Source organism: Homo sapiens, chromosome 1 (assembly GCF_000001405.40).
Source record: "Homo sapiens chromosome 1, GRCh38.p14 Primary Assembly".
In the NCBI taxonomy this organism is placed as follows: Eukaryota; Metazoa; Chordata; class Mammalia; order Primates; family Hominidae; genus Homo; species Homo sapiens.
Window position 1 is genome coordinate 163640604 of NC_000001.11, and position 15142 is coordinate 163655745.

Genomic DNA, 15142 nt, shown 5'->3' on the forward strand with positions numbered 1-15142 from the left:
ACAATGGTTGAACTAGTTTACAGTCCCACCAACAGTGTAAAAGTGTTCCTATTTCTCCACATCCTCTCCAGCACCTGTTGTTTCCTGACTTTTTAATGATTGCCATTCTAACTGGTGTGAGATGATATCTCATGGTGGTTTTGATTTGCATTTCTCTGATGGCCAGTGATGATGAGCATTTTTTAATGTGTTTTTTGGCTGCATAAATGTCTTCTTTTGAGAAGTGTCTGTTCATGTCCTTCGCCCACTTTTTGATGGGGTTGTTTGTTTTTTTCTTGTAAATTTGTTTGAGTTCATTGTAGATTCTGGATATTAGCCCTTTGTCAGATGAGTAGGTTGCGAAAATTTTCTCCCATGTTGTAGGTTGCCTGTTCACTCTGATGGTAGTTTCTTTTGCTGTGCAGAAGCTCTTTAGTTTAATTAGATCCCATTTGTCAATTTTGTCTTTTGTTGCCATTGCTTTTGGTGTTTTGGACATGAAGTCCTTGCCCACGCCTATGTCCTGAATGGTAATGCCTAGGTTTTCTTCTAGGGTTTTTATGGTTTTAGGTCTAACGTTTAAATCTTTAATCCATCTTGAATTGATTTTTGTATAAGGTGTAAGGAAGGGATCCAGTTTCAGCTTTCTACATATGGCTAGCCAGTTTTCCCAGCACCATTTATTAAATAGGGAATCCTTTCCCCATTGCTTGTTTTTCTCAGGTTTGTCAAAGATCAGATAGTTGTAGGTATGCGGCATTATTTCTGAGGGCTCTATTCTGTTCCATTGATCTATATCTCTGTTTTGGTAACAGTACCATGCTGTTTTGGTTACTGTAGCCTTGTAGTATAGTTTGAAGTCAGGTAGTGTGATGCCTCCAGCTTTGTTCTTTTGGCTTAGGATTGACTTGGCGATGCGGGCTCTTTTTTGGTTCCATATGAACTTTAGTTTTTTCCAATTCTGTGAAGAAAGTCATTGGTAGCTTGATGGGGATGGCATTGAATCTGTAAATTACCTTGGGCAGTATGGCCATTTTCACGATATTGATTCTTCCTACCCATGAGCATGGAATGTTCTTCCATTTGTTTGTATCCTCTTTTATTTCCTTGAGCAGTGGTTTGTAGTTCTCCTTGAAGAGGTCCTTCACATCCCTTGTAAGTTGGATTCCTAGGTATTTTATTCTCTTTGAAGCAATTGTGAATGGGAGTTCACTCATGATTTGGCTCTCTGTTTGTCTGTTGTTGGTGTATAAGAATGCTTGTGATTTTTGTACATTGATTTTGTATCCTGAGACTTTGCTGAAGTTGCTTATCAGCTTAAGAAGATTTTGGGCTGAGACGATGGGGTTTTCTAGATAAACAATCATGTCGTCTGCAAACAGGGACAATTTGACTTCCTCTTTTCCTAATTGAATACCCTTGATTTCCTTCTCCTGCCTGATTGCCCTGGCCAGAACTTCCAACACTATGTTGAATGGGAGTGGTGAGAGAGGGCATCCCTGTCTTGTGCCAGTTTTCAAAGGGAATGCTTCCAGTTTTTGCCCATTCAGTATGATATTGGCTGCGGGTTTGTCATAGATAGCTCTTATTACTTTGAAATACATCCCATCAATACCTAATTTATTGAGAGTTTTTAGCATGAAGGGTTGTTGAATTTTGCAAAGGCTTTTTCTGCATCTATTGAGATAATCATGTGGTTTTTGTCTTTGGCTCTGTTTATATGCTGGATTACATTTATTGATTTGCGTATATTGAACCAGCCTTGCATCCCAGGGATGAAGCCCACTTGATCATGGTGGATAAGCTTTTTGATGTGCTGCTGGATTCGGTTTGCCAGTATTTTATTGAGGATTTTGCATCAATGTTCATCAAGGATATTGGTCTAAAATTCTCTTTTTTGGTTGTGTCTCTGCCCGGCTTTGGTATCAGGATGATGCTGGCCTCATAAAATGAGTTAGGGAGGATTCCCTCTTTTTCTATTGATTGGAATAGTTTCAGAAGGAATGGTACCAGTTCCTCCTTGTACCTCTGGTAGAATTCAGCTGTGAATCCATCTGGTCCTGGACTCTTTTTGGTTGGTAAACTATTGATTATTGCCACAATTTCAGAGCCTGTTATTGGTCTATTCAGAGATTCAACTTCTTCCTGGTTTAGTCTTGGGAGAGTGTATGTGTCGAGGAATGTATCCATTTCTTCTAGATTTTCTAGTTTATTTGCGTAGAGGTGTTTGTAGTATTCTCTGATGGTAGTTTGTATTTCTGTGGGATCGGTTGTGATATCCCCTTTATCATTTTTTATTGTGTCTATTTGATTCTTCTCTCTTTTTTTCTTTATTAGTCTTGCTAGCGGTCTATTAATTTTGTTGATCCTTTCAAAAAACCAGCTCCTGGATTCATTGATTTTTTGAAGGGTTTTTTGTGTCTCTATTTCCTTCAGTTCTGCTCTGATTTTAGTTATTTCTTGCCTTCTGCTAGCTTTTGAATGTGTTTGCTCTTGCTTTTCTAGTTCTTTTAATTGTGATGTTAGGGTGTCAATTTTGGATCTTTCCTGCTTTCTCTTGTGGGCATTTAGTGCTATAAATTTCCCTCTACACACTGCTTTGAATGCATCCCAGAGATTCTGGTATGTTGTGTCTTTGTTCTCGTTGGTTTCAAAGAACATCTTTATTTCTGCCTTCATTTTGTTATGTACCCAGTAGTCATTCAGGAGCAGGTTGTTCAGTTTCCATGTAGTTGACCGGCTTTGAGTGAGATTCTTAATCCTGAGTTCTAGTTTGATTGCAATGTGGTCTGAGAGATAGTTTGTTATAATTTCTGTTCTTTTACATTTGCTGAGGAGAGCTTTACTTCCCAGTATGTGGTCAATTTTGGAATAGGTGTGGTGTGGTGCTGAAAAAAATGTATATTCTGTTGATTTGGGGTGGAGAGTTCTGTAGATGTCTATTAGGTCCGCTTGGTGCAGAGCTGAGTTCAATTCCTGGGTATCCTTGTTGACTTTCTGTCTTGTTGATCTGTCTAATGTTGACAGTGGGGTGTTAAAGTCTCCCATTATTAATGTGTGGGAGTCTAAGTCTCTTTGTAGGTCACTCAGGACTTGCTTTATGAATCTGGGTGCTCCTGTACTGGGTGCATATATATTTAGGATAGTTAGCTCCTCTTGTTGAATTGATCCCTTTACCATTATGTAATGGCCTTCTTTGTCTCTTTTGATCTTTGTTGGTTTAAAGTCTGTTTTATCAGAGACTAGGATTGCAACCCCTGCCTTTTTTTGTTTTCCATTTGCTTGGTAGATCTTCCTCCATCCTTTTATTTTGAGCCTATGTGTGTCTCTGCACGTGAGATGGGTTTCCTGAATACAGCACACTGATGGGTCTTGACTCTTTATCCAATTTGCCAGTCTGTGTCTTTTAATTGGAGAATTTAGTCCATTTACATTTAAAGTTAATATTGTTATGTGTGAATTTGATCCTGTCATTATGATGTTAGCTGGTGATTTTGCTCGTTAGTTGATGCAGTTTCTTCCTAGTCTCGATGGTCTTTACATTTTGGCATGATTTTGCAGCGGCTGGTACTGGTTGTTCCTTTCCATGTTTAGCGCTTCCTTCAGGAGCTCTTTTAGGGCAGGCCTGGTGGTGACAAAATCTCTCAGCATTTGCTTGTCTATAAAGTATTTTATTTCTCCTTCACTTATGAAGCTTAGTTTGGCTGGATATGAAATTCTGGGTTGAAAATTCGTTTCTTTAAGAATGTTGAATATTGGCCCCCACTCTCTTCTGGCTTGTAGGGTTTCTGCCGAGAGATCAGCTGTTAGTCTGATGGGCTTCCCTTTGTGGGTAACCCGACCTTTCTCTCTGGCTGCCCTTAACATTTTTTCCTTCATTTCAACTTTGGTGAATCCGACAATTATGTGTCTTGGAGTTGCTCTTCTTGAGGAGTATCTTTGTGGCGTTCTCTGTATTTCCTGAATCTGAACGTTGGCCTGCCTTGCTAGATTGGGGAAGTTCTCCTGGATAATATCCTGCAGAGTGTTTTCCAACTTGGTTCCATTCTCCACATCACTTTCAGGTACACCAGTCAGACGTAGATTTGGTCTTTTCACGTAGTCCCATATTTCTTGGAGGCTTTGCTCATTTCTTTTTTTTCTTTTTTCTCTAAACTTCCCTTCTAGCTTCATTTCATTCATTTCATCTTCCATTGCTGATACCCTTTCTTCCAGTTGATCGCATCGGCTCCTGAGGCTTCTGCATTCTTCACGTAGTTCTCGAGCATTGGTTTTCAGCTCCATCAGCTCCTTTAAGCACTTCTCTGTATTGGTTATTCTAGTTATACATTCTTCTAAAATTTTTTCAAAGTTTTCAACTTCTTTGCCTTTGGTTTGAATGTCCTCCCATAGCTCAGAGTAATTTGATCGTCTGAAGCCTTCTTCTCTCAGCTCGTCGAAATCATTCTCCATCCAGCTTTGTTCCGTTGCTGGTGAGGAACTGCGTTCCTTTGGAGGAGGAGAGGCGCTCTGCGTTTTAGAGTTTCCAGTTTTTCTGTTCTGTTTTTTCCCCATCTTTGTGGTTTTATCTACTTTTGGTCTTTGATGATGGTGATGTACAGATGGGTTTTCGGTGTGTATGTCCTTTCTGTTTGTTAGTTTCCCTTCTAACAGACAGGACCCTCAGCTGCAGGTCTGTTGGAATACCCTGCCGTGTGAGGTGTCAGTGTGCCCCTGCTGGGGGGTGCCTCCCAGTTAGGCTGCTCGGGGGTCAGGGATCAGGGACCCACTTGAGGAGGCAGTCTGCCCATTCTCAGATCTCCAGCTGCGTGCTGGGAGAACCACTGCTCTCTTCAAAGCTGTCAGACAGGGACATTTAAGTCTGCAGAGGTTACTGCTGTCTTTTTGTTTGTCTGTGCCCTGCCCCCAGAGGTGGAGCCTACAGAGGCAGGCAGGCCTCCTTGAGCTGTGGTGGGCTCCACCCAGTTCGAGCTTCCCGGCTGCTTTGTTTACCTAAGCAAGCCTGGGCAATGGCGGGCGCCCCTCCCCCAGCCTCGCTGCCGCCTTGCTGTTTGATCTCAGACTGCTGTGCTAGCAATCAGCGAGACTCCGTGGGCGTAGGACCCTCCGAGCCAGGTGTGGGATATAGTCTCGTTGTGCGCCGTTTTTTAAGCCGGTCTGAAAAGCGCAATATTCGGGTGGGAGTGACCCGATTTTCCAGGTGTGTCCGTCACCCCTTTCTTTGACTGGGAAAGGGAACTCCCTGACCCCTTGCGCTTCCCAGGTGAGGCAATGCCTCGCCCTGCTTTGGCTCGCGCACAGTGCGCGCACCCACTGGCCTGCGCCCACTGTCTGGCACTCCCTAGTGAGATGATCCCGGTACCTCAGATGGAAATGCAGAAATCACCCGTCTTCTGCGTCGCTCACGCTGGGAGCTGTAGACCGGAGCTGTTCCTATTCGGCCATCTTGGCTCCTCCCGATTTTTTAAGCAGAATTTTTCTTTTCTTATTGTTGAGTTTTAAGTATTCTTTGTATATTTTGGAGAACAGTCTTTTAACAGGTTTGTATTTTGAAAATATTCTTTCTCAGTTTGAGGCTTCTCTTTTTATCTTAAGTTTCACAGAGAAGAAATTCTTAATTTTAATAAAATCCTCCTTCTCAATTTTTTCTTTTATGTATCATGCCTTTGGTGTTGTATCTAAAATGTTATTGCCAAACCCTAGATCATCTAGATTTTATCCAATGTTTTCTTCTTGGAGTTTATATGGTTTTTAATTTTACACTTAGGTTTATTTTCCATTTTGAGTTAATTTATGTAAAGTGTAAGGCCTGTGTCTAGATTTATTGTTTTGCATGTAGATGTTCAATTGTTCCAGAACCATTTGTTGAAAAGACTATCTCTGTTACATTGCATTGTCTTTAATTCCTTGTCAAAGATCAGTTGATTATCTTTATGTAGGTCCTTCAACTTTGTTCTTCTCCTTCAATATTGTGTTGGCTATTCTGGGTCTTTTGCCTCTCCATATTAACTTTAGAATAAGTAGGTTTGCTGTTGCCCACAAAATAACTTTCTGGGATTTTGATTGGGGTTGCATTGAATCTATAAATCATATTTGGAAGTACTGGCATGATGACAATATTGAATCTTCTTAACCATGAAATAAAATGAAATAAGTGAAATACCTGTTCATTTACTTAGTACTTCTCTGATTTCTTTCATTAGAGTTTTGTAGCTTTTCTTGTACAGATAATGTGCGTCCTTCATATATTTTTGATCTTTTATATTAGTTTTCTATTCAAAAACCAAAATGTTCATTTACAAAACATAAGTATGGTCATATTACACCTTATGTAAAATGTTACATCTTATGATAAAGAGGATAATCCCCAGTTGACTTACCAGGAACTCCAAAACCTGAACCCTAGCAACTAATCCATCTTCATTTCATAACACTCAGATGCCCCATGTTTCTTTCCTTCATAGGCTATTTACACATGATGCTATCTCTAGTTTCCTTCCTCCCTTTCACATAATTAGCTCAAACTTATTCTTCAGGTCTCAGTTTAGCATTCCCTGACAGCCCAGGTTAGGTCAGGTTCCTTTATTACATGTACTGATATACTTTTTCTTCTTAGTAATTTCTCCTTCAACCATGTTTCTTATTTTACCTTTATATTTTTGCTTGTAATAATTATGCTTATATAACATTTTACAGTTTCATATTGTATATTTATTTGTGAATTATTTGGTCCATAAACATCTTACCACATCTTGTCTCCACACCTACTGTTAGCACCCTTCAATATAATGTGAACTCTTTGAAAACAGAAAAAATAACTATGTCCAGAGCCAGAAACATTGTTTGTGCTTAATAGCTACTTACTTAAGGAATGAAATAAATATGAATATAGTGGGCTTAGATAGAAAGCTTACAGCTCCATGCTGTAACCATAGAGATGCAAATTCTTTGGGTATTTCAGAATCCAAGCTGACTTCTTATTACTGCTAAAGCCAGACAAAAATAGATGGCTCTTCAGTGCTTCCACCTGGACAGGTAGGGAGTCTACACTGAGAGAGGGACATAGCTTCTAAAAAGGAGGCGATATTGATATAACAATGACGCTGCTGAGGCAAGTGGATTGGAGACAAAGAATTCTAAAGTACAAACATGAGAAAATTGAAGGGGAAAAGTGCCCATCAAAACTGAGTGTCCCACTGAGATTTTGAAGTAGATTATTGCTATGATCTGAGTATTCATGTCCCCCTGAAGTTAATATGTTGGAACTTATTCTCCAATCAGACAGTATTAAGAGGTAGGGCCATTAAGAGATTACTAAGTCATGAGGGTCTTGGACTTCCCAGCCACCTCTAGAATTGTAAGAAATACATTTTTATCAATCTAAGGTATTTTGTTATAGCAGCCAGAAAAAATTGCAACAGTTACCCTGCGTTGAAGGGACGACTGGACTCTGAATGACCCTTCCAGCTCTAAGACTTTTTTCTTAATTCAGTTAATCAATACATAATTATGGGTCCTCATGTAATAAATATTAGTGAGAAAATCAAGAATGTGATAGATTGTTTTTATTTTCCCTTAAAAAAGCCTAGTCTGTTGCCTAATTATGAATATATATACAGGCTCAAAGAGTGTTTTCCCTGGTATAACAGCTGATGATTTAAAAACAATTGACCAATACCAATGGTTGAAATACAATATTTGGGTTAACACAGATCAAATGCATGACAACAATTTATCTGAAAAAAGTTCAGACTATAAACCCATACTAATGAAAAACAGATGGTTTTTTTTTTACGCCAGTCAACCAAATTAGCTGTTTACATGGATTAAATGAGTTAACTAATTGCCTTCTCAGTTATCAAATGTTTATTGAACATTTACTACAGAACAGGAGCTATGCCAAGTGCTGGGAATACAGAGTGCCTAAGAAAGGTACAATTCCTTCCTTCATAGACCTTATGGTATAATGGGAGAGACAGACATTGAACAAGTAACATGAAGTTAGTAGCTATTATTCTGGTACTTGCTTGGTGCTAGTTGCTAGGGCTGCCATAACCGTGTATCCCAGATTGGGTGGCTTAAATTAGGTATCCCTAAGCCCCAGACCAGGGACTGGTACCGGTCCATGGCCCGTTAGGAACCAGGCCACACAGCAGGAGGTGAGAGGTGGGTAAATAAAGCTTCATCTATATTTACAGACACTCCCTATTGCTCAAATTACTGCCTGAGTTCCACCTCCTGTCGACTCAGTGGTGGTGTTAGATTCTCACAGGAACGTGATCCCTCTTGTGAACTGCGCATGTGTGGGATCCAGGTTGTGTGCTCCTTATGAGAGCCTAATGCCTGATGATCTATCACTGTTTTCCTTCACCCCTAGATGGGACTGTCCAGTTGCAGGAAAACAAGCTCAGGGCTCCTACTGATTCTACATTATGGTGAGTTGTAAAATTATTTCATTATATATTACTCTGTAATAATAATAGAAATAAAGTGCACCATAAATGTAATGTGCTTGAATCATCCCCAAATCATCCCCGTCCCCCTTTCTGGTCTGTGGAAAAATTGTCTTCCACAAAACCAGTCCCTGGTGCTGAAAAGGTTGGGGACCCCTGGCTTAAACATCAGAAATTTATTTTCTTACAGCTCTGAAGGCTAGAGGTCCAAGATCAAGGTGTTGGTAGGGTTCTTTCTTTTGAGTCTTCTTTCCTTGGATTATACATGGTTGTCTTCCCAATGTGTCTTCATATGGCCTTCCCTCCATGTGTGCCTGTGACCTAATTTCTTCTTTTTTAAGGAGGGACACCAGTCGTGGTGGATTTGGAGCCCACTTATACAACCTCATTTTAACATAGTTTTTTTAAAGACTCTATATTTAACCTAAAGAAGTAATTAGGTTACTTCTTTAAGGTCTATCTCCAAATACAGTCACCTTGTGAGGTATTAGTGGGTAGGACTTCAACATATGAATGCAGGGAGCATAAGTCAGCCCATAATAGTACCTCATAGTTATCTAGAAAAAATTATCCTGTGAAAATATGTGAGCCACATTTATAATTTCAAAATTTGCAGAAGCCACATTTAAAAATACCAGATGAAGTTATTTTGAATAATATATTTTGTTTAACCCAATATATCCAGAATAGTATTTCAATGTTTAATCAATATAGACAATCATTTGTGATATGTTTAACTTTTTTTGTACTATCTTTCAAATACTGTGTATATTTTACACTTATAGCACATTTGATCCAGACACTAACTTTTTATCAGAAATACTTGGCTTATATTTAGAATTAGTGAAATTTACAGTTGAAAAAATAATTTTCATACCCAGGTTGTTCCAATTATGCTATAAACTTTTCCAACAACTGAATTGAGTATCCGTTTTAAATATAAATTACTTTTTATTAAATAAGATTAAAAAGTTAGTTCCTCAGTCACATAAGCCACATTTCAAATGCTCAAATAGTCACATGTGATTAGAAGCTGTCTTAGACTGTTCAGGCTGCTATAACAAAATACCTCAGATTAGGTAATTTAATGAACAACATAAATTTATTGCTTATAATTCTAGAGGGTGTGAAGTCCCAGATCAAGGCACCAGCAGATTTGGTGTCTGGTGAAGTCATCTCTGCTTCATAGATGGCACCTTCTTTCTGCGTTTTTACATGGTGGAGGTACAAACAGCCTCCCTCAAGCTTGAGGGCACACTAATCGTCAGCTTCCCTGGTGGTCTAGTGGCTAGGATATAAGAACACTAATCCCATTCATGAGATTGGTGCTTTCATGACCTAATTACCTCCAAGGGTCCCCAAGTCTTAATACAGGTCCCTTGGGGGGTAGTTTTCCACATATGGATTTGAGGTGGGGACACGATCACTCAGATCACAGCAGTGGCTATTGAATGGGACAGCACAGTCTAGAAGATACATGTCCCTGTCCTGTGAAACAGCAATGCTGTGAATGTCTCAATTACTCTCAATGATTTCATGCTATAATACTAACCACACTTCTTGTAGTAAAGCCCCATGAACAGAAAATTCTCCTCTTGATAAAACAATTGAATTTTGAAAAAATAATGTTTAACACTCTCTAACCGCTTCTGATTTGAAGTAGTCACACTACATTTTACATCGCAATTAACTTTCCCAACCCATCCCAGGAGTTTTATTAAAGACCATCTCAAGGGACTTCTTAGGCTGGGCTCTAAGCCAAGTCTTCCATGTGCCTGTCGCCACACCCACCCCACTGGGTGCTAATGAGAATTGGCACAGCTGGAGATCTCACATCATCACAGCAGGAGGCAAAGGCTTCTTCTCCTCTTCTCAATCCCTCAATCCCACTGTAGGAAGAATCTTGAGAAGGATATTTTTGTCACAGATCAGACTATGGTCCAGGGTCGAAAGCTTTTTGGTGTGACACTGAATTTCTTGGACCCACTAGACTGCAAATTTGCTTTCTGAAGCTGGGTCTAAATCCACAGGGAGCCATTTCTGGAATGTGAAGACAGTTATTCTGATATTTTCTAAGTTTAGTGGTCCATCTAAGGCAGGAGGTCATCTGAAGTCACACCAAGGGGAAAGGGACAATATTGTGGCTCTCTGTATAAATGTCGTTTCTTCCCCACATTGTACTAGCATGCTTGGGGAAAAAACAAACTCTCAAGAAAGAAGTTTTTGTCTTAATGAATGAGGTCACTTCTCTCTTTAGACACTCAGAGGAGTGAGGCTTCCAAAGTCAGATTATGGCTTTCAAAGCCAAGGAAATAAGAAATGCTAAATTCAATCTTTGGCTCTACTGGCCAACCAAGCCAGCTTTCAAATGATATCATTTTGCTTTGGGCCATCTAGTGAAAAAAAGCCAGGCACTGTTTTCCTTGCTTGACATATATCATGGATGAAACTGACAAAAATCCCATCCTCATGATGCCTACATTCCAGTGGAGGGCACAGAGAATAAACAAATAATAAAAGATATATTAAGAGTAAAAAATTACTGTAAAAATAAACAAAAGGACATAGCAAATGCAAGGAGATAGGGCATGGCTCTTCATTTCTTTCTGAAACATATTTATGTAGTACCGACTATCTGCTAGGCCCTGTGTTACGTTAGGAACTGTGAAAGGATAAAATGATGAATTAGACATAGCTCCTACCCTCAAGGATTTTTTGCCTAACATCGCCATTTATATTTTTTGTATATTTTCCATATTTTAAAGAATTTTTTGAAAGCTGAGAATCCCATCTTGCATTTTCTTATTCTCTAAGAATATTTAGGATGTATTATATGGTGTTGTTTAGTCAAATTTTATGTTGAAAAAATAAATGAATAAATGAATGATGTGGATGTAGGCGTAAGGAGGGTGTTGCTATGAGCCTAATCATACCATTTCTTGGCATAATAGAAAAAAAGCAACAAATTAAAAACTATGGAATCTGGGTTCTCTATCCCCTGTAGCTTACTATGCGACCTCAGACATATCGTTAATGTCTTTGAACTTAAGTTTCTCCATCTGTAAAATGGGACTTATATTCGTTGCTAAATACAGAGGTTATGAAGAGCAAATGTGAAAGTGCTTTGTAAATGCTAATGCTCTACGCAAAGTTAAGAGATTATTATGTGTGCTAATGCATCCCTTCATTGGTGTGGCTAATTGAATATCAACTCTGCTAAAGGAAATTAAAATTAAACAGGATGTATTGGACAATCCAATGCAGAAACTCAGCATGGCAGGAGTTTGCATTAAGCCAAACATAGCAAGAGAGAGACCCCGTCGGAGAAAAGCAGTTAGATTTTGCTGCTAATTAGTACTTTTCCTTCAGGAGGTGGAATCTTCTCTTTCTTTTACAGATCAAATTACTCATGTACCCCTATAAAAAGCATGTCAAAGTCAAAAGTGCAAGCAGTCCCAGTGCAATTTGCAGTGGGAATAGCTGCAGTGAACAGTTAGCACACCATTAATTCTCAATTAAGTGTCAATTTGCACATTGCTGGGAAACAATTGCAAATTCTTTGTTTCTCCCCTTAAAGATGTCATTTGAATCTAGGAGAGCCAAAATCTAGTGGGGAGGGATAGATAAAGACAACTAGAGATGAAATCAGGTTGTGCCAAATACCAAAAAGGAATCTCTCACATTACCAACTAGCTGAGTCCCTTCCTGTCAGCAAATAAGACATAGTGGTATGGTAGATGTTTATCATAATCTGAATTGGCAAGAGAAAAACTCAATTCTAATTACAAGTTTGTAGTTGAGAAATTCTCTGATCAACCCGAAGCAAGAAATTGAGAATTTCTACTGCAGAGAGGAATGTATTCTTTTCTGGCATGACCAATTTTCTATATAAACCTTAGTGCTTCAGCTGCCCAAGAGTTCAGTTTTAGAAACTGTCTAAAGTTACAGAAAATTATTTGCTTTTTGGGGCAAAGAATCCAGTAGCAGCAATATCTCCATTTATTTTGCTAATAAGACCTGTGTTTCTAAATAGATTCAAAAAAAGCTTAACATGATGGATGCAACCAGGTCCCCAAATCAGTGAAACTCTCATTCCAAATGCATTCAGCATTTATCAAGAATTTTCATGCACCCATAATTTATTGCATCTCTGCTTTGTGCGTAGAATTGAAGGGTGGAAGAGAAATATAGGTCTGACTTTGAGGGGCTGAGCCAAGAGGACTGAAGACAGGAATTCAAGACCAGCCTGGGCAGTATAGTGAGACTTCGTCTCTACAAAAAGTTGTTTTAAAATGCTACTTGGTAAGGCTGATGTAGGAGGATCGCTTGAGTCCAGAAGGTTGAGGCTGCAGTGAGCCATGATTCTGCCATTACACCCCAGCCTGGGCAACAGAGCGAGACCTCATCTCTAAAAAAGAGAAATCTAAGTCTACTTTCCAATAGCTTAAAATTTCAATTGGACAGGAAATACACAGGTGCATGATGAACTTGGGTCCCTGGCAAGGGGATATATCACTTAGTTAGGTGTTGGATGGTGCCCGTAAAATGCCAGCAGCAAAAGCAGTAGGTGTGTGCTAAGCCTAATACAAATATCCCTGAGTTAGAGGGAAGTCGAGCAGAATTGCCAAATGCTTAGGACTGCTTTTTGCCATCTTCAGTCACCTCACTGGTTTTCCTAGGCACTTCTCCTTGATATAGTTTTGTCAGATATGTGTTTGGGACCTCCTAGCTTCTGCTCTCATCATCTTCTAATTAACTTCTGATACCAGATCTTTGCTTTTTCTCATGCTGCTTGCTATTCACTTGCCTCATGGATTGAATCTTATAATACCTGCCAATTCTGTTTCCTCATACTGTGAATGCCTAGATTTCATTTTGCATAGAGCTGGACACCACATTCTGGAAGCATTTTCATTTCATAAAAATTTAGGTTTATGACATAGCAGGGAGAGCCCAATATTAGGGTAAGGTGGCCCCTCAAGGTCATTCTGGACATTGTAAGTCGGCCCTTCCTTGTGTTATTCCAGGGTGTAAACGGGATGGCATCCATTTGATTTTCATTATTCTGGGACAAAGTTGCTTCCGCCTTCCTTTAATTAGGAAGTCCTGCAAAGAATATCATGAGTCGCTCTCAATCCCAACCAGCTGGGTATTTTAAACACCAAGCACATTACTCTTCCTCTGGGACAGGTAAGCATTTCTAACCTGCCTTTAAACAAACATAATAGTAAAAAGATAGATACCGTGGAGCAATGAACAGACTTGAGAATTTATGCTCAGCTATTTATCTTAGTTTTACTGAAGCTATGGGGCCTGAGACAACTCAGGAAACATATGTACAAGATAAAAACACACATCAAATAACTCCGTAACTAGTGGATAATTGATTAAAATAAAGCCACCTGCATAAATCAATAGGTCCTAATCACGATATTTGTTTTTACAGATTTCTTTGTAGTCAATTAGGACTGCCCATTAAAGTGGCAGAATAAGCACAGTGCCTGCTGCTATGATGTGATGGGCCGTGGGAAACACTTTTCGCCTAAAATCACCTCCTGCAATGGCCTACTTAAGGCATTTGATTCACCTATGTTAACAAGTGAGTATTACTTTAAGTCTATATCATAGATTGTCCCTTTTGATTTTCACAGCCAGCAGAATAAGTAGGTATTTTTATAATTCCTAACTTTACAGATTAATATTGAGCATCAGAAATATTAAGTTAGTAACTCAAGATCACTTGGCAAATGCCAAAGCCTGCTTTGAGAACTCATGTTGTCTGACTCCAAATCTCACATTTTATCCACTCACCACTCCTCAGTCATGAGAGAGCCATTTCTTCAGTCCTTGTTAAAAGGGTACTCTTCAGGAAATTATGAAAATGTACATATCCTTGTACACTTAACCTGTCTTGTATCTTGACTGTTTAGTTTCTTGCTACTCAAAGTGTGGTTTATGACAAGCAGCATTGAAATACCTGGAGCCTCATTAGAAATGCAGACTCTCAGACTCCACCCTAGATTTACTGAGAAAGAAAAGGACACAGTGGGAAATAGGGACAGCTGGAAAGAAACAAAATTTTCAGAAATGCCAAAGTCAAACTGTAACAAGTTTATAATTTATTTTAATAGAGTGATCTATGATCCTTGCACAAATTTCTTGAAAGCAGAAATATTCTCTTATAGTTTCTCAGATGTCAGAAAACTGAGGGAAGCTTATATAGCTTTGGGCCCAGCCTCTAATCCAGAGTTTTGTTATCTAATGTTTTAAGGAAGCTGAAGCAAATTTGATGGAATTGGTGTGTGTCTTGCCCTCTTTTCCTGTTTTGATTGTGTACCACTTGGTGTCATATTTGCAGCAATGGTGTAGTATTGACGAAGAAGCATTTAGACTTTCTTACACTCACCTTTCACAGAGGTCAGTGGTGTCTGTAAGGCAGTGAGACAAAGGGTAATGGTAGAGGAGTAAGGGTTAAAGCTTCAGGATAAGAAAAATTATATATATACAAGGAAAGTTATTCTCCATCCGGAATTTGTTAAGAAAGACATGGAGAAGATAGTAAAGATGGACTAGTTAATATTGTAAAAAGCATCAGTAACATGGGTACCATTTCTCCAATATCAAATATTTTGTCCTATTGTTAGACCAATATGTCTGTTTGGTGTTCAGAAAATGTGGTTGCCATATGTGTGTTTGATAATGACCATATT

At 39.1% G+C, this 15142-nt stretch overlaps 2 annotated features.

Moving 5' to 3' along the window:
- Positions 4573 to 5152: an enhancer, noted in NCBI's record as "NANOG-H3K27ac-H3K4me1 hESC enhancer chr1:163614907-163615486 (GRCh37/hg19 assembly coordinates)". NCBI's record gives its function as "activates a minimal SCP1, AML or CMV promoter by ChIP-STARR-seq in naive H9 embryonic stem cells {active_cell/tissue: H9 hESC(naive)}" and the evidence as "EXISTENCE:reporter gene assay evidence [ECO:0000049][PMID:30033119]".
- Positions 5153 to 5732: an enhancer, noted in NCBI's record as "NANOG-H3K27ac-H3K4me1 hESC enhancer chr1:163615487-163616066 (GRCh37/hg19 assembly coordinates)". NCBI's record gives its function as "activates a minimal SCP1, AML or CMV promoter by ChIP-STARR-seq in naive H9 embryonic stem cells {active_cell/tissue: H9 hESC(naive)}" and the evidence as "EXISTENCE:reporter gene assay evidence [ECO:0000049][PMID:30033119]".